The 19,459-nt window shown below is 46.2% G+C and overlaps 1 long non-coding RNA gene and 1 pseudogene across 3 annotated transcripts, besides 1 other annotated feature; both read right to left on the bottom strand.

Annotated features, from left to right (window-relative positions):
• LOC105378724 (uncharacterized) lies at nt 3,789-14,774 on the bottom strand. Of its 3 annotated transcripts, none has more exons than XR_947347.2 (3): nt 14,651-14,774; nt 4,021-4,166; nt 3,789-3,925 (listed from the first exon to the last, which is right to left on the bottom strand). It is a non-coding gene; the product is annotated as an uncharacterized LOC105378724 (long non-coding RNA). The 3 variants fall into 3 exon arrangements; XR_947346.2 differs by lacking the exon at nt 14,651-14,774 and adding an exon at nt 12,590-12,675; XR_947348.2 differs by lacking the exon at nt 14,651-14,774 and adding an exon at nt 4,609-4,692.
• On the bottom strand, nt 8,346-8,922 carry CPT2P1 (carnitine palmitoyltransferase 2 pseudogene 1; annotated as a pseudogene).
• Nucleotides 13,084-13,133: an enhancer, noted in NCBI's record as "active region_1041". NCBI's record gives its function as "activates an Ori minimal core promoter by ATAC-STARR-seq in GM12878 lymphoblastoid cells {active_cell/tissue: GM12878}" and the evidence as "EXISTENCE:reporter gene assay evidence [ECO:0000049][PMID:35858748]".
• Nucleotides 14,775-19,459: the final 4,685 nt, after the last annotated feature.

Below are 19,459 nucleotides of genomic sequence, written 5' to 3'. Positions count from 1 at the left end.
GGCTCTATTCTAGAGACAGAGGGCCAAAAGATTGAGCCCATCCAATCTAACAGCCAAAAGAGGGACGTGAACACCTTTGGTGAGTGCATGGCCAATGGGAGCAACTCTAAGCCTTTAGGCTGGTGTCCAAGGCCTTCTGAATTCTGACCCCTACCTACTTCTCCAGCTCCCATCATGTCACCCCAAAATACTCTATGCCAGGGGTGTCCAATCTTTTGACTTCCCTGAGCCACACTGGAAGAAGAATTGTCTTGGGCCACACATAAAATACACTAATACTAATGATAGCTAATAAGCAAAAACAAAACAAAATTGTAAAAATATCTCATATTTTAATAAAGTTTACTAATTTGTGTTGGCCTCATTCAAAGCCATCCTGAGCTGTGGGTTGGACAAGCTTGCTCTATGCTGTAGTAACACTGAACCACTTCTCATTCCCATCCTTTTCCTTACTCTGCGACTTATTTATTTATTTATTTTAGCTGTCTCTGCTGCCTGGAATGTTCTTTCCATGCATCTCTGCCTAGTAAACTCTTACTTGTCCTTCAAACCCTATTTCAAAACTCACCTCTTTGAAGTCTTCCTCAATCCTCATCCTTCTTCCTCACTGCAAGAATGAATCCCTCCCACTGTGATTTTACAGCACTTTTTACATTCATTTACAGTTATGTACATGAAACACAACTGTATTAGGGCTTTTAAAATAATCAGCTATTTAATTACCAATTCATCTCTCACAATAAATTTTGAGGTCTTTGGGCAGGGACCTTGTTTCCACTGTGTGTCCACTGTGTCTAGCACAGGCCTACTGTGGGGAGGTGCTTTGCTTCCTTTTCCTGGGGATGGCCCTGGGGTCTGGATCACATTAAGAATAACCATGAGCTGGTAGTCCAAAAAGTCCATATATTGCTGTGTAAGGGTCAAGAAAGTTCCTCTACTTAGAGAAAGATCCTGAAGAATACATTGTTTCTATTGAACTAATCCCCAGAGTTCTGCTCTGTTTTGAATTAACTATGAAAAAGCAGTACATGATGGCCAGGTTAAAGTCATATTCATCTTCAAAATCAAAGTTCTGAAAAACAATGAACTTTAACTGGCTAGCAGTAGAGTTCACATTTCAACAAAAAAGAGGTCCAGTTGGGTAAGTATGACCAAAGAAAACAAATGTGACCACCCAAATATTCAAAGAAATGTCAGGAACTAGTACCTAGAGTTGGCCTGGCAGTCCCAAGTTCTCAGGTTCTATTGGAGCTTACCTGGACTAAACAGTGCTTGAAATGAGGAAATTCATAGGCAAGACCTTGAAAAGCCCTGCCTATTTAATGGGATTTGTTAAAATGAACTCTAACCCTTTTATAAATATTGAGTATGTGAGAAAGTATTTAAATGCAAAAAAGTGAAACCAGAGTATTAAAAAAATGCTCTCTCTGCCCCATAAAGGAACTTTTAAAACATACCTGTGGACACATTAGATATTGTAACTAAACCAATCAATGAGAAATTCATGGTATGTGGGAAAAAAATCTGTTCCTTTTAACTTTACAAGGAATCTGATGTTTCGTTTTTGAAGCATTGCTCAGAACTGCTGGAGAAAAAGAATCGATGTACAGAGCATGAAGAACTTATTGCATGAGGGTCTACGGGGAGTGACAAATACAGTGTACTTTTGAAGGATCCAGAGGACCAAATTTATGCATCTCAAACATGGTCCTGGTCATCTGGGCTGGCAGGTTTCTGGGCTCCTGGTTCCAAGGATGCAATGGAGAATGGGGGTTGGGGAGGAGGTAGAGACTTGACCCATAGCTAACATCTTCTGGGGAAGGGCCCTAGAGCAGGAAGGCCCTTGCCCCTCTCTGGCCCCTCTGGCAATAGATTCCTGACTTCTGTTGCACTCCTGTATGCATTTAGCTCTTCTGAAGTGAGGAAGGCTAAGCTCAACTCCAGCACCCTCCAACTGTCACCATTTTCACTGTGGATTTTTCTTGTGGAGGTAGGCCTCACCCACCTAAAGCCCCAAGCCAGTAGCCAGGTAGAAGAAGGGAGGACAACTTTTAAACTCTAAAATAACAGCCTGGTCCAGCTCCTAGGTGCAATGGGATTATTGTAAAAGACCAGTTTCCAGTGGAAAGTGGAACTTTGCTTCCTCACTGGGTCCTTAGGTTCCAGTTTTCTTTATGCCCCTTTGCCAATTTCATTGAAGGAAAGAACTTTAATGGGGCTGTGTGTGTGTGTGTGTGTGTGTGTGTGTGTGTGTGTGTTCTGGGTTAGTGAAAATGTCACCAAATTCAGCAACATAGAAACCCCAGTCAAAAAAATTTAAGATTGTAGAAGAAATGGACAAATGATGACAAAAGGAGCTGAAATCAAGAGTTTGGTATTTTAGCTAGGCACAGTCCTAGCTACTTGGGAGGCTAAGGCAGGAGGATAGCTTGAGCCCAGGAGGATCCCTCAAATTTGAGGCTGCAGTGAGTGAGCTATGATCATGCTCCTCTAGCCTGGGTGACAGAGTGAGACCCCATCACACACACACACACACACACACACACACACACACACACACACACACACACACACACAGAGATAATACAGGCAGGTGACACGGTTTGGATCATGGGGGCAGATTTCCCCCTTGCTGTTCTCTTGATAGTGAGTGAGTTCTCATGAGATCTGGTTGTTTAAAGTGTGTAGCACCTCCTCCTTCACTCTCTCTCCTTCCTCCTCCAGCCATGTAAGACATGCCTGCTTCCCCTTCATCTTCTGCCGTGATTGTAAGTTTCCTGAGGCCTCCCCAGCCATGCTTCCTGTACAGCCTGTGGAACCATGAGTCAATTAAACCTCTTTTCTTTTCTTTTTTCCTTTCCTTTCTTTTCTTTTCTTCTTTCTTTTTTTCTTTTTCTTTTTCTTTTTCTTTTTTTTCTTTTTTTTTTTTTTTTTTTTGATATGGTCTCACTGTCTTGCCCAGGCTGGAGTGCAGTGGTGGGATCTTGGCTCACTGCAACCTCTGCCTCCCAGGTTCAAGTGATTCTCCTGCCTAAGCCTTCTGAGTAGCTGGGATTGCAGGCGCAGGCCACCACATCTGGCTAATTCTTGTATTTTTAGTAGAGACTGGGTTTCACCATGTTGGCCAGGCTGGTCTCGAACTCCTGACCTCAGGTGATCTGCCCACCTCATCCTCCCAAAGTGCTTTGATTACAGGCATGAGCCACCATGCCTGGCTCTATCTCTTTTCTTTATAAATTACCCAGTCTCAGGTAGTTCTTTATAGCAATGTGAGAATGAGCTAATACAGGGGGATAAGATGATTATTCAGCCTCTTCACATGTGAAAGGGGATGAAAAAGTCTGGCCTCCAGGGACCCTGGCTGTCTGACTGAGATGCCTCTTTCTCCACTCCTGGAAAGGATTCCTTGGAGGAGAAGGGAACCCAGCTGGGGATGAGGACCTGAGCTAAGGTATCTGCTCCTTTTTTTCCCCGTCCCCATCTGTCCTCATGTCCCCTAGCCCATTTGGTCAGGGCCTAACTGATGATGGACTTGTTATTTATTTATTTATTTTTTATTAAGACGGAGTCTTGGTCTGTCACCCAGGCTGGAGTGCAGTGGTGTGATCTCGGCTCACTGCAACCTCTGCCACCCAGGTTCAAGTGATTCTCATGCCTCAGCCTCCCGAGTAGCTGGGACTACAGGTGTGTGCCACCAACCCAGCTAATTTTTTTTTTTTTTTTTGTATTTTTAGTAGAGACAGGATTTACCATGTTGGCCAGGCTGGTCTTGAACTCTTGAGCTCGGGTGATCCGCCTTCCTCGGCCTCCCAAAGTGCTGGGATTACTGGCGTGAGCCATTGTGCCCGGCCTGGACATGTTATTTAAAACAGCAAGAACCTTTCCCCAGCAGTCTGTGGTGCCTTGGTTGAGTTTCTGGATGGTCCTGTTGGCATAGCAGGTGGCATTAGAGTTAGGTGTCAACCTGTACTGAGTATGCAAGCCCAAAGCAATAGGCACCAATGGCAGGAAAGCCCCCACCTTCCAGGTCAGGCTGGCCAGCTCCCTTGTGGTGAGGATTCTGTGATCCATCTGGACATAGGCTGAGATGAAGAAGGCTGTGTAATCAGCACCCTTAAGAGGCAGCTCAGGTCTGCAGAGCAAACAATATCTGTGTAATTCCTGACCTGTGGGTAGAAAGAACAGAAGAAGATGTTGGATCTCAGGGGACTTTCCTCAGGAACCAGCCCCAGACTTCCTTTCCAGAGTGATCTCTCATTTCTCTCCTTCAGGACCCATTTCCTCTAGCCAGGCTGTCTTTTCACTCTCCCTGGAGTATCCCACTCTCTGGCTTCCAAAATTTGGGCATACTTTTCTCATCACCTGGAATACCGTTTCTATCTCCTTCTTGCTTGTACAACTCTTATTTTCCTTTCAAGGCCCACTTCTATCTGCCAATCCCCCAAGCCCTCCCTGACCATTGTGGCTCCCTCGGGAACTGCTCCCTCCTGTCACCTCAGGGCACTTCCCATCAGTCCCCTTCATTTCCCACTCATCTGCATGGCAGTGCCTGAGACATCCTCACATCACAGACTGCATCAGGCCTGAATTCCCGTGGCGGAAGCTCACTTTTTTGTGTATATCTTGTTATCCCCACGTGACGGTGGCCGCTGGGGCTTCTCATACTTTCCCAGCGAGGTACCCCAGCGAGTGAGGAATGGGGAAATGTTCCTTTGGGAGAGTCAAGGGCATAGTCCATATGGCAGTGGTCCCAGACCTTTTTGGCACCAGGGACAATTTTTCCATGGACGGGGGTTGGGGGGTGGGGGTGGTTTTGGGATGAAACTGTTTTGCCTCAGGTCATCAGGCATTAGTTAGATTCTCATAAGGAGCTCGCACCAGCAGGCGGAGCTCAGGAGGTAATGCTGGCTCATGGCTCACCTCCTGCTGTGCGACCCAGATCCTAACACGCCACTGACAGGGGTCTGCAGCCCAGGGGTTGGTGACCCCTGCCATATGGAATGTCTGTGCAGTCACTAATTTTTATCTCTAAAATTGGTGAGGATTTTTTGGTTTTATGTCATAATGTATGTTTGTTTTAACAGAAAAATACTTTTCTTCAGGTTGTATGAGCTTCAATAAGTTATTCCACCTCTCTGCTCTTCAGCTTCCTTATCTGTAAAAGGGAGATGGTAGTCTTCACTTGACAGAATTTATGCTACACCTAATACAGGTCCTGACATCTGAAACACCAGTCACTGTAACTTGTTTTGCACACAGCTAAACCATAAGCAAAGTCTTCCCCATATATATGAGGATATGTGAACGATGCTGCTTGTTGACTGACCCAGCCCATCCAAAACACTCCTCCTTAGCTACCTTCCAGCTGTAGGCGGCTGTGTGAAATGAGATGGACACAGAATTCTACTGGGTGTGGACTCCAGGAAAGCTTTTGTCTTCTCAATAGAGAGTGGCAGAGTTGGCTGGCAAGGCCCGGTTTTCCCCACTTTGCCCTTCTTGCTTCTGCCTACCTGGAGGATGCTTGGAGATGCACTGCCATCTTGCAGCCTTTGGGCCGCAAACCAACATGCCAAAGGTGACAGTGTGAAAAGACAGAGGGGCCTAGAACGCTGACGATTGTGTAAAGGGGCTGCTGCTCTAGCCTACAAGTACCTTCCCCTGCCTTTTTGCCTGTGAGACAAATCATTTGATGTGTATCATCTCTGTCTATGTTATATGTTTAAAACAAAGTTAATAGCCAAACAGATTCCTCACTGATGCACTATCCCCCAAAGTATGAGACATTAAATAACTAAGTTTACACAGAGACAGTCCATGAAACATCAGACGAACAAAAGTGTGGTAAAGGAATCCATTTGTAAGCCATTATCAGTTCTCAAAGAGAGTCACAGTAATCAGAAGGCCAACTTTGAACTTGAGATAATCAGAGACAGTAGTCAGACGACAGACGTAAAAATCAGATTAAACCTTCCCGTTCCTCTGTGAAGCGTGGGTGGAGTTGTTTATTAGCTCTGCAGGGCAGTAGCTTGAGAATATGGCAGGACTAAGATGAGGTGGTCCTTTAAGGATGAGTGAGTTTGGAGCAAACTTGAAGCCTGAGAGGAGCAGCCAGGGGGAAGGCAGAGATTAGAGAGAGGTGGAAATTAATTGATGGAGAAGAGGGAAATGAGGGGAATGAGTGGAGAAAGGGACATGGCTTTGAAACAGAGACAAAGGCAAAGATGGATCAGGATAACTTCCCCTACCCCTGCCAACTGCTCCAATATCTGTACTTCCATTGCTACTTTGCTTTCATAACCTGTCAGCTCTAAGATTTTGTTGGGAAAAGCTGGGAGCCCTTGATGGATTCTTCTCAAAACTGTCTGAAAATTCCAGTGTTGAGACTCTGGCCCCTATTTCCATATCTGGGAATGTCGAGTTAATGGTAACAGAGTTGTTGAACTCAGGGTCCCTTTATTTATTTTAAATGTATGTATTTATTTGTTTGAGAAGGGTTCTCACTCTGTCATGCAGGCTGGAGTGCAGTGGCCCAATCTCAGCACACTGCAACCTCCACCTCCCAGGCTCAAGCAATCCTCCCACCTCAGCCTCCATAGCTTGGATCACAGGTGCGTGCCACCACACCCAGCTAATTTTTTGTATTTTTGGTAGAGACGGGGTTTTGCCATATTGCCCAGGCTGGTCTCAAACTCCTGAGCTCAGGCAATACATCTACTTCAGACTCCCAAAGTGCTGGGATTATAGGGATGAGCCACCACGCCCGGCCTCAGGGTCCCTTTAAGGCCACACCAGTACACCCCACATGCCAACCAGGAGGGGTTACCCCACCCTTCCCAGTGTTCATATAGGATGTCTACCTTATAGGAGGCGGCCCAACACAGCAAAAGGAATGCCTGATGTTGAGTCAGATAAACCAGAATTGCTCACACACTTGTCATGTGACCGTAAATAAGTCAGTTCATTTCTGAGTCTCAGTTTCCTTTATTAGTAAAATTGGACTAATGCTTATGCTAACTCCTTCTCAAGTTTGTTATATGAAAGGAATTTGCAAACTGCTATGTGCACATGGGAATGTTTAAATTATTGCAAGAACCATGTCTTTCAAGTCCTGCCAAATCTACCTCCTTCATATCTGTCTCATTCCTTGACTGGGTTACTATAATAGTTTGTGACCACTTTCCCTGTTTCTAGCCTAGGTCTCCTGTAGCCAATTCTCCATCCTATTGTCAGTATAATATCTCTTAAACACAAACCGGTAATAATAATAATAGTAACATCAAAATTATAATGTTGAGGCTGAATGTTTGTTTTGTGTTTGCTATTTTCCAACATTCAGTCTTCTTAAAATCCTAGCATTCAGGATGAAAGTCAAACTCCTAACTTAGCACCCCTTCATGATCTTCTTCCTAATGTCTTCTCCAGCCTAGTTACTTACCCTTCCCTTGAGTGAACTCAAGTCTTTTCCAGCATGTTATGTTATTTTACGGCTTTTCCTATTGTTCTAACTTGGTTCTATTCCTTCTTTAAACTCAGTCCTACCCTCACCTCCCACAGAGAAGCCTTCCTTGCCTGTGACCAATCAAGATGGCTAAATCACCACACCCACTGTCCTGGGCTCCCATGCAAGGCATCCTCTGCCCAGCATTTAGCATATGCACTGTCATTGCTGGTTTTTTTGTTTGTTCTCCTTGCCAAATTCACTGCCTGGCAGAGAATAGAAGCTCAACAAATATCACTGATTGAATGAATCAGAATTAGCTGGAGAACAGAATTAGAAAGAATACAGGGCCTTAGGCCAGTGGTCTTCAGTCCTGGCTGAACACTAGAGTCATCTGGCTTGCCTATTAAAACTGTAAATGTCTAAGCTCCACCACTGGAAATTCTGATTCAGTAGATGGAGTGCAAGAGCAGAAAGCCCATACTTTATAAATCTCACTAGATCATTTGAATGTGTAGCCTGGGTAAGACCGCTGTTCTAGACCTTTGCTATTCAAAGAGTTCAATGAATTGGAATCACCTGGGAGCTTGTTAGACCTGTAGGATCTCAGACATCATCCTAGACCCGCTGAAACAGAATCCACAGATCAACAAGATCCCCAGCTATTTCTTAGGTACATTAGAGTTTGAGAAACACTTGTCTAGTCCATTGGACTGGTACCTGCCTCATCCTAGCAACTAGCATCTGTCACTTTGTAATTTATAATGCACATTTCAAATAGTAAAAGAAAAGGCAGCTAAAAATTACTAACTGCCCACCCTGTGCTCTTCGCTGTATCTATGTCATTTCATTTAATCCTCACCTTTCCCATAGAATGTGATCTGGGTTGAGTGTTTGGGTCCCTCACACACACATCACTGAGACACAGGCTGACTTTTTTCACTGCCACGTTCCCAAGTCCCCTCTCTTCACTGCCTTGTGTTGCCGTTGCTCACCAGCTTCTCCCTCAGCCTCGCCCATGCATCTCAGTTTTTTATTGTCAGGTAGGACAGGGGACTGTGGGTGGGGCTGTTGCCTAAGAGGATGTACTTCAGAGGAGCCTGGATTTCTGAGGCCTCACAACAGTCCATAAAGCATTGGAAATATAAAAATAGCCCTTCCTCAGCACCAAGAGGTATTGAGTCATTTCATCAGTGTAAAGTTTGTCTTCCTAGAGCTTGGATTGCTGGCTTGTGTTAAAAAGCAGAAGATGGAATCATCCATGGGGAAGATTCTGGGCATGGAGGATCAGTGGGCCACACCAATGTTAGGGCACCACTGAATCAACTTCTAAAAGATGTCAGGGTCAGTCATATGGGGATAGGGATGCAACAGCTCAGATTCCAGACAACCACACCTAACAGGGCTCCAGAAACTCAACAGGAAACAGTTGGGTTGTAGCCCTAGTTGTCATACTCAGCTCTGGGATCCTGATGGAATGCCAACCATACTTCCCTATTAACTATGGTTGAGTTATGGCATCTTAGGTAAGAATCCATTGGAATCTCTGGAAAGGAAGGGCAGTGGAGATGTGTGGGCGGCAAGCTACCCAGGTGCCGAGGCAAGAGACCAAGGGCACAAGCTGTTCCAGTGTAATAAAGAAAATATATACAATAAGAATAGTTATACTAGAAATAGATTATAGATATGATTATATATGAATATTATTAATCATTAGTTTATAGCATTACTCTTTATTCCAATATTATAATAATCTTTGTTCTACAATTATAACCTAGGAAAAACCAGGCCATACAGAGATAGGAGCTGAAGGGACATGGTGAGAAGTGACCAGAAGACAAGTGTGAGCCCTCTGTTATGCCCAGACAGGGCCACTAGAGGGCTCCTTGGTCTAGCGGTAGCGCCAGTGCCTGGGAAGGCACCCGTTACTTAGCAGACCGGGAAAGGAAGTCTCCCTTCCCCGGGGGGAGTTAGAGAAGACTCTGCTCCACCACCTCTTGTGGAAGGCCTGACATTAATCAGGCCCACCCACAGCCATCCAGAGGCCTAAACGTCTCCTTCTGATGCTGTGCTTCAGCGGTCACGCTCCTGGTCCACTTTCATGTTCTGCCCTGTACACTTGGCTCCACCTTCTAGATAGCAGTAGCAGAAATAGTGAAAGTATTAAAGTCTTTGATCTCTCCAAGAAATACATAGAAGAAATAATGACGTAAGCTGTCCTCTCTCTCTCTTCCTCGACTACCAAATAGGGAAAGGCTCCCTATTTGTCCTGTGGCCACGTGACTCGCGCGACCTTACCTATCATTGGAGACGACTCACACTCCTTACCCTGCCCTCTTGCCTTGTATACAATAAATAACAGCACAACCAGGCATTAGGGGCCACTACCGATCTCCGCGCCTTGGTGGTAGTGGTCCCCTGGGCCCAGCTGTCTTTTCTTCTATCTCTGCCTTGTGTCTTTATTTCTACGATCTCTCATCTCCGCACACGAAGAGAAAAACCCACAGGCCATGTAGGGCTGGACCCTACAGAGATGTAGACAGAACAGGAGAAATATGCTCTATCATGGGGCATGGAAGAAATAAATCGCTGTCTTGTCAAGACCAGACCACTGAAACTGCGGCCTTCCCGGAGCTGCTGCTTCGCTTCCAAGCACTCACTCTACACCAGTTGCACAGAGATAAATATGGAACATGGCACAGTCTTCAAATAGCAGGCAGACTCATAAACAATTATATGACAGTGCAATGTATGCGGCAATAGCAGCATGCCCAAGATGCTACCAAAGCACAGAGAAGGAATGCTGCTCCCAACAACCCCCTCAGTTATGCACGCCAGGAACCCGGGAGCCAGCCTAGACTTCTCCCTCACTCCACACACCTCGACAGTCTCCAGGTCCTCTTCATCAGAAATGCCTTTGGACTCGTCTCATCCCATCTTCCAAGGCCCTTGATATCTATTGCTCCATTATCGCTTGTCATCTCTGTCTGGACCTCATGGCTTGCCCCAGTTATGGCCTCATTTTCCATCTTCCCCTTTCAGCCAATTTTCCCCAACAGCTGTTTCTACTTGCTGTCTGCAAACACTCAGTTTCCATTCTCTGTTAAACCTGCTCCCTCAGGCTTGCGCACCCACCACTCCACCAAAACTGCTCCAGTCTTCTACATTGCTAAACCCAGTGATTCTTATCCTCAGCTTACCTGACCTATCAAAATTTGATGCACACCTCCCTCCTTCCAGTGCCTTCCTCCCTTGAACTCCAGGATGCCAAGTCCTTCTGGTTTTCTGCCTACCTCGCTGTCTGCCTCATTTCCATTATCTTTGTTGGTTCTTTCTCATCTCCTTAACTTTCAATGGGCTCTCCTCTGAATGAGGCTTACAGATCCTACTGTCTAACATTGAATTCTTCATGATCCCCTGAAAACTCATTCTTCCCACGGCTTTTCTCTTCTAGGTAAAGAACAACTCCATTTTTCAGTTACTCAGACAAAAAAGTTAAAATCTTCCTTAATTTCTCTCTTTCTCTCCACCCTGTATACAAATCATCTGAAAATTCTGTTTGCTCTACCTTCAAAATATGTCCAGAATCAGATCACTTTTTATTACTTCTACCAGCATAACCTGGTTCATGCCATCACTGTATCTTGTCTAAATGACTGCATTAATAAAAATGGCTACCATATATAGTGCTTACTGTGTGCCAGGCACTTCCCTTGTGCTTTGCATATGTTGATTCATTTACCCTTCACAACCGCTCCATAAGCTAGGTATCATTACACTATTACCCCAGTTTACAAAAGAGGAAACTGAAGGCCAGGGAGGCTGTGTGACTTGCCCAAGGTCACTCAGAGAATAAATAATAGAGTTGGTCTCCCTACTTCCACCCCGGACCCCCATGCAGTCTATTCTCACACAGCAGCCAGAATGATCCAAATGCAACATCAGTTACATTGTGCTCCTTCTTTACTCAAAACCCTGTGATAGCTCTCCATCTTATTCAAGTAAAACTAAGACCTTCAGTGTCTCTAATGTCCTACATCAGGGTTGACAGACTATGGTGTGCAGGCCATTCTGACCCATCACCCATTTTTGTAAGTAAAGTTTTGTTGAAACAGCCATGTTTATTCTTTTACATTTGGTCTGTGGCTGTTTTCACACTACAAGGGCAGAGTTCAGCAGTTGCAAGAGAGACCACGTGGTGCACAAAGTCTGAAATATTATGTTTACTGTCCGGCCCTTTACAGATAAGCTTTGCCAACCCCACCCTACACAGTTTGCCTCCTCCCCTGTCTCTGATGTTGCCCCTGGCCCCCACCCTGCCTGCCTTGATTCTGCTCCAGCCACACTGGCCTCCTTGCTTTCCCAAGATCTCACCAGGAACGCTCTGACCTCAGGCTCTGCCTTTGCTGTTCTCTCTGCCTGGAAGGCTTTCCCTGGGACCTGGAATGCTTTCCTCCCTCACTCCCTTTAGGCCTTTTAATCCTTTTCTCACCAGGGCCTTCGCTGATCCCCTTATCTAAAATTGCAACCCTGCCCACGTTCTCTATCCTCCTTCCCTGCTTTATTTTTTTCCCATTGCTTTTCATATTATCTGAAACACTATATATCATATTATTTATGTGTTTGTTGCCTGTCTCCCCCTAGTAAGGTGTAGGCTCCCAGAGGGCAACAGTCTTTATTTTGTTGTCTTATAGATCTCTAATGCCCAGAACAGTCGCTGGCACAGTGTGGGCATTCAGTATTTGTAGAATTCATGAAGGGATGGGAGACTTCTTCAACAGTCTGCTAACTAGTTCCCCTGTTTGTGGTTTCTTCTCTCTTCTAGTCCAACATCCACCCTGCTACTGGTAATCTGTCTAAACACAGACCTGCCTGTCCTTCAGTGACCTCCACTCCTGCAGGAGAAAGGCTCCTTCTCATGGCACCGTATGGCATTTTCCACCCGGCCCTGACCCTCCTCTCTAGCCCCAGCTCCACCTCCACTCCCCTCTCAAGACTTAAGGAAATAAGATGCAGAGCTGATGACTTGCCCAAGATCACACTACTGGGAAGTGATGGAATAGAATTTGAACCCAGACTGTCTTACTCCCTAGTCCATGAGCCTAACTACCAATCAAAACAACAGCTAAACACCCAACCTTTCACCAATACCTCATGTCCTTCTGTGATGTTATGGCATTCTCTACTCTGCTCTCTGTGCCTGGAATATCGTCCTCCCTTTTCTCTGCTGTCCACTTCCGTGCGTTCCTTTGGAAAACTCTCAAAATCTGACTCACAGGTCACCTCCTCTGGGAGCCTCCCTACACTTTACCTCCTCCTCTAGGCCCTGTCATGTCCAGATGCCCAGCACATGCCCAAATCCCAGCACTCACCACACGGCATGGAGGGGTCCCTATCGGCCCAATTTAAATGATAGGAATTAGAAATCGTGTGACACGCGATACTAATAAAGTCTGACTTGATGCCTACAACTTTGGAATAATGCAACTCTCACCAATTAAATAAAAAGAACTAAGGCTCACGTAATTTCGAAGCTGCCTATCCAAGTCCATTGCAAATAGCGTTTACATTCTTGCCACACGGTGGCGCCACTTTAGCCGGTAAGGTGAAATCCCTGACACGTCCTGTCAGTGATGTCTGAACCGGGGTGTTGTTTGCACACACCAAGTGATTGTGGTGGCTTTTATTCAGGTTTTATACTTTTAAATCTCTTTAAATATCTTGTAATAATGTCATTCATACATTCCATAAGCGGTAGTTCTATGACAGTGCTGAGAAACACTGTGGAAAATCAGTTAGGTTGGAAGGGAGGTTGTATGTTGGATGTGATGAAACCCCATGCCATGCTCTGCTGTTCAATGAGCAGGCAGCCCCCCAAAAAATAAGAGATGATACTGAGAATATAGGAATTATGGTTATAGATTGATGTTTCCCTAGAATATATTTATCTCTTTTTTTTGTCAGGGGAGGGGACGGGGTCTGACTCTGTTACCCAGGCTGGAGTGCTGTGGTGCGATCACGGCTCACTGCAGCCTCGACTTCCCAGGCTCAAGTGACCCTCCCACCTCAGCCTCCTGCGTACCTAGGTCCACAGGCACATGCCACCATGCTGGGCTAATTTTTTAATTTTTTGTAGAGACAAGGTCTCCTTAATTTGCCCAGGCTGGTCTCAAACTTCTGGGCTCAAGCGATCCGCCCACCTCAGCCTCCCAAAGTGCTGGGATTACAGGCATGAGCCATTGTGACCCCGCAGAATGCATTTCCATAAGAAATATTCTTCAGAAGAAACGTGCACTGAATGACGTGCACTTTGACTCCGGCCCTGCATGGTAAAGATTCATTTTTCTTGCTTTCTCAGCCATAAGCTGGGAGATTCCTAATGACTCGGCTACAGTTGAGCTGCTGCTTTGATTAGTGGTTAGGCTAATGGGCTAGGCAATCTGGGTTCAAATTCTAATTCCACCACTCCCCAGTAGTGTGATCTTGGGCAAGTCATCAGCTCTGCATCCTATTTCCTTATGTGTAACATGGCCACAGAACCGCCCTCAGCTCATGGGGTGCTGCGTGAGAGGTAAATGGAGCCAGTCTATGAGGGCTGAGCGCAGCTCTGGGACAGTGTCCCTGCTGGCTGGACATGAACCATGCTTCCCTTCTGCAGCCACATTAACCCAGCTCACAGCTGAGCCAAACTCCCAGACAGGGAAGGTTCCCATCACTTAGAGAATTGTCTCGCCCTCCTCTCTTGCCCTTTCTGACTCGGAGCTAGTGTGCTGACTGTGCTCATCTCAGAAAACCAATATGGTATTCAGCTCCTTGCCAATCCCATTTTGAACTCTGTGGGGAAAGTTTTGGGTTTTTCTGAAATAGTAGGAAAGGCCATTATAGCTCTGGTGGATCAAGGCTGGCAAGAAGTCGGCAAAGCCTTTGGGGACCTGTCTCTCCCGTTTGCCACGTCTACCTCTCCTTCCCTGGGCTGTTACGACCAACTCCTCACATCTCTGGAGACTTCACAAGGACCTGCTGCCTGACACATGGCACCCCGTGAGCCAGACCCAGAGTTCTCTCCTTCCCCCACCCTCAGTCAGAGCTCAGAGAGCGGGGCTCCATGGAGATGCCCTTGCTCCTCCTTCTCGGGAGGCGCTCTTGCCATCTTTGGGGAATAGGATATTTTAGGGACAAGTCAAAGGATGATAAAGGCTGGAAGGAGCTTACAGGGACACTGCTCCTCCCTCTCCTTGGAGTGCCATTGGCTAGTAAGATTTGAGATGGCCCATTTTGAGGGCTGAGGGTGGGAGTTGCTTCTGATTGCAAGACTCTGACCCGGAATCACTAAAGCAGCTGGGCAGGCCTGGAAAAGGGAGAACAGGAATGTATTAGTCAGGCTTCTCCAGAGAAACATAAGCAATAGGATGTGTAGATATGAAGACATTTATTGTAAGGAATTGGCTTACATGACTGTGGAGGCTGGGAAGAACCTCTTCCTGCCATCTGCAAGCTGGAGACCTGGGAAAGTCAGTGGTGTCGTTCAGTCCAAGTCTGAAGGCCTAAGGACCAGGGGAGCCTATGGTCCCAGTCTGAGAGCAGGAGAAGACAAATGTTGCAACTCAGGCATCCAGGCAGAGGACAAACTCAGCCTTCCTCTGCCTGTTTGTTCTATTCAGGCCCCTGACAGATTGGATGGTGCCACCCACCCTGGAGAGGGCTGTCTGCTTTACTCAGCCACCAATTCAAACACCAACATCATCCAGAAGCACCCTCACAGATGCACCCAGAAGTAAGCCAACTATCTGGACACCCCATGACCCAGTCAAGTTGACATGTAAAATTAACCACCCCAAGGAGATTTGCTCCTTAGAGCTTCACCTCTGCCAGGGTTCAGAACCTTTTCACTTTTTTCCCATGGACCCCCTATTCAGAAAGATTTTAGCTACCAAATTGCATTTTTAAAACAATCTCCTAATTTATTTCTCCATTGCACACATGCACATGGGTGAGTGGGTAAACCGAAGAGGAGTGTGAGGGAGGATTGTCAGAGCAGAAGGTGAGACAGGAGGTACCAGCCTTCCACTCTCTTGGATTCAGATGTATTGGTGAGGCAGGATAAGGAAGGTGAGGAGGCCACACTGACTTGTCCCCTGGTGTGAAGCCCCATGGGCTCCTTTCAAAGCAGGCCCCCCTTGTGCATCAGCACCTACCTGTAAGCAGTCCTACAGGCTACCGGCAGACCGCCAGATGGCTACAAGTTCCTGATACCTAGTACCACCTGAGAAAGAGAACAAAAACCCATTGTTCATGATGTGATGCAGCTTCCCCAATCTGTAGCCAATCAGCACTAAAACCCCAAGAAGCTATTAGCTACAAATTCCTGGCTTGTGGGGGTGGACTAAGGACTTCTCCTGGGTCTCATATGAGCAGCTAGGCTCAAGGTTTAACTTAGTGATTTTTCCTCATTTTAATAAACACACCTCTGGGTGATTTTCTACGCTAGTGATAACATGCAATGCATGTGAAAGCATGTAGATGCTGAGTGCATACACCAACCATAGGTCAGCCTTTGCACTTCACCTCACCAGTAGTTCATGCATATGTCTGTACAGCTCTCATAAAGGGAATTCCCTTGGGACACTGGGGGCTGTCTCTGCCTCTGAGCAGCCCACTCTGCCTCTGAGAGTGTACTTTCACTCTGCAATAAACTTCTTTGCCTACTCTTACTTTGGACCCACCCTCAAATTCTTTTGTGCGGTGAAGTCAAGAATCTGAGTCACCCCACCAGCCACACTGGCTTGGGTGATGCTCTGAAAAGGCCCTGGAGACCTAGACAGTTGCCCTTAGCTCAGCCCCTAACTGGCTGTGTGACCTTGAGCAAGTCACTTCTTTCAGCCTCAATTTGGAAGCTGAGGAGGTCTGATAGTGTCTTCTCTGCAGCTTCAGATGAGGGTTCTCCCCTCCCATTGCCATTCTGTCCCATCTGCTATGCTCAAGTTCCTGAGAGACACCCAGTCTTTGTCTCTCCCATGGATCCTTGCACAGCGTCCTGCACAAAGTGGGCACTTGGTACATTATTTGATCAATGAGAGAATGATAAAAGGAGCTTCCATTTCTGCAGCATCTCTCATGGGCCAAGCACTGTGTCAGGAACCTTTATGAATATTATGTCTAATTCTTACAACACCTCAGGATAGACATTTAAAACATTTTCTGCTGCAGGAAACTGAGTTGGTTATACATCTAGGTTAACACTCTACTATTATCACTGATCTTTGCAATGCTCTTCTCTTTTCTTGTTTTACTCTATACCCCCAATATTATGATTTATAATAAGAATTTTTTTTGTTCCTCATCCATGGTTCCTGACACAGAGCTCCTAAAACACTTGTAATCTGCAATGAGAGTGCTAGGTACATCTTTTGTTCTAATATTTTGTCTTTGACCCCAGTTTCTGACACAAAACTCCTAATCTCTTGGAATTTACTGGGTGATAGGAGTGTCTTTGTTCTAATTAGGTGACTTTTTTTTTTCTTTCGAGATGGAGTCTTGCTCTGTTGCCCAGGCTGGAGTGGAGTGGTGTGATCTTGGCTCACTGCAAGCTCCGCCTCCCAGGTTCATGCCATTCTCCTGCCTCAGCCTCCCAAGTAGCAGGGACTACAGGCGTCCGCAACCACGTCTGGCTAATTTTTTTTTTTTTTTTTGTATTTTTTTTAGTAGAGACGGGTTTTCACCATGTTAGCCAGGATGGTCTTGATCTCCTGACCTCATGATCCACCCGCCTTGGCCTCTCAAAGTGCTGGGATTACAGGCGTGAGCCACCATGCCCAGCCTACCCAACACTGTTTTGAAGAATTCTCCATGCTGCTCTGTGTACATCTAGTCCATTGCTTCTGCCTGCTGTCCGGAATTCCACAGGCGCATCCACTGTGGTTGACTTATCCATTCCCTGGTGGTGAAAACCTCCAATATCTCTCCTGTCTGCTACCACAAACACCACCACGACGAATATCCTTCTACACATCACCGTATACGCCTTCTGGGATATAATCCAAGAGCAAGATTGCTGGGTCCAAGGGCATGTACAATGTGGAGATTATGGCCCCAATTTTAGAACTGAAGAAATGATGCTTAGATTACACAAACAGCACTTGGGGATTCATTTCCAGAGTTTCCGCCTCCAGATGCTGTGCTAGTCCCAAGGTGTCAGCCCACCTCAGTGAATAACTAAATCTGGTCCATTCAGTGCAACAATTAATTTCCCTGCTATGTAGACCTCGCATCTCAATAATGAACTGAGATAAACTAAAGGGATTGTCTAGACATCTTGGCATGACTGTGACTTGAGGAACTCTTGCTTCTTTTAATTATTGACACTCTCTCACATGTTTCAGCAGAACACAGTTACAAGCATGCCCCATGTCTATTGTCTTACTCCCCTAACAACCCTATGAGGTAGGAATGATCATCATTTCCATTTTACAGCGAAGGAAACAGAGGTTCAGTATCATTTATTTAGCTGTAAAGTGGCAGGGCTCAGAATCAAATGCAGGCCTCTGAATCCAAGTCTAATGTAATTTCCACCACTCCAGTGCTGGTAGCCCAGGAAAATAAGCCTGTTCCCCATAGCCAGGCACTTGGATGAGATCACAAAAGCTCAGAACTTTGAGCCAGCTGTTTGCAAACCCTGTCTGCAGATGTTTGGCATTCAGCAGGGACAGCCCTGGCCAGGAAAGGGAGACAGCCCAGCTGGCACACAGAAGGGAGAGGGGCATGGTACCAGGGATGGCCCCCTGCACAGGCAGTCCTGGAACTGCAGAGCTCCATGCTGCTGTCAGTGGGTGGCAGCAAGGCGCTGTGGCCTTTTCCAACGATGGGACTACCTGGCTTCTCTCTCCTGGCTCTCGCCCCAGACACTGAGAAACATTAGTGGTGGCAAGAGAGAAACAAATGCCCTCTGCTTTTGAAGTCTTCCCTGGCAAACCCCTCTAGCTGATTTTATTCCGTTCTGTTTAGTTTACACAGCCCAGCATTTTCACAAACACACTTCCATTAGACAAATATTTGCTCTCTACTCTGCGCCAGACAAGTGCTCAGCAACTTGAGATTATGAAATGACTAATTTCACGAGCCATGAGTTACTAAGCAAGATACTTATACCCTGAGCCAATGATGATACGATATGATACGATAGTACCTGCCCCAAAGGTGGTTGCAGGGCGAGCACATGCGCAGCACAGGGCAAATGCTAGAGGAGCAGTATTTGGTAGTATTACTTGATGTAATAAAGGAAGAAAGTAGTAAATAGAAAATATGAAGGAGCACTGGGAAGGGAACAATGAACTAGCTCTGGACAGAGCATGGAGGTGGCAGTAGATACCACTGAGTAGGGAGACGGTATTCAGCTGCAGGATGAGATGTTTCCTGGTGAAGAGGCACAAGGTAGCAAAGGGAAGAACATGCATAAAATAAAGACGTTCCCTCCCTCTGCAAAGAGCCTTCACCAGGGCTTCTTTCCTCCCCTCTGTGGCCAGGACGTGGTTGCACTTAATCCGTTTCCAAGCCTCTCTTTCCCTTAGATTCTGAGCTCTTTGAAACCTGGGACTGCGTGTTCCGCCCTTAGCACAGGGTTGTACACAGTCAGCCCTTATTAGAGATTTTTGGTGAATGAAATACAAGAGGTATAAAGGAGCATGGGCTCTACAAGTAGTGGGGAAGGGTTTGCATGCCTGATGCATAGAGCAAATGCTGGGAACGAGAGGGATGAATGCTGAGAGTTAGACCGTCAACTGTCCCATGCTATTGGCTGGGGATTTCCATGGATGGCTCGGATTAAGGAGTAGCAGTAAGAGAGAGAGTAAATGTGGGAAGTGGGAAGGGTTGGCCACTACACAGATTGATGGGGACGGAAGCTGGAGGAAGAAGTCAAGGATAACACTTTGCTCCATCCTGAACTGGCTTCCTGCTCTTGAATAATTCGCCATGTCTGCCAAGAGGGCACAAACATTCATTCGAATGAGGCCCCACACATTCTGC

Source organism: Homo sapiens, chromosome 1 (genome assembly GCF_000001405.40).
Source record: "Homo sapiens chromosome 1, GRCh38.p14 Primary Assembly".
Taxonomy (NCBI): Eukaryota; Metazoa; Chordata; class Mammalia; order Primates; family Hominidae; genus Homo; species Homo sapiens.
The sequence above is the reverse complement of the archived record's forward strand: the minus strand, read 5'-3'. Positions and strand labels throughout refer to the sequence as shown.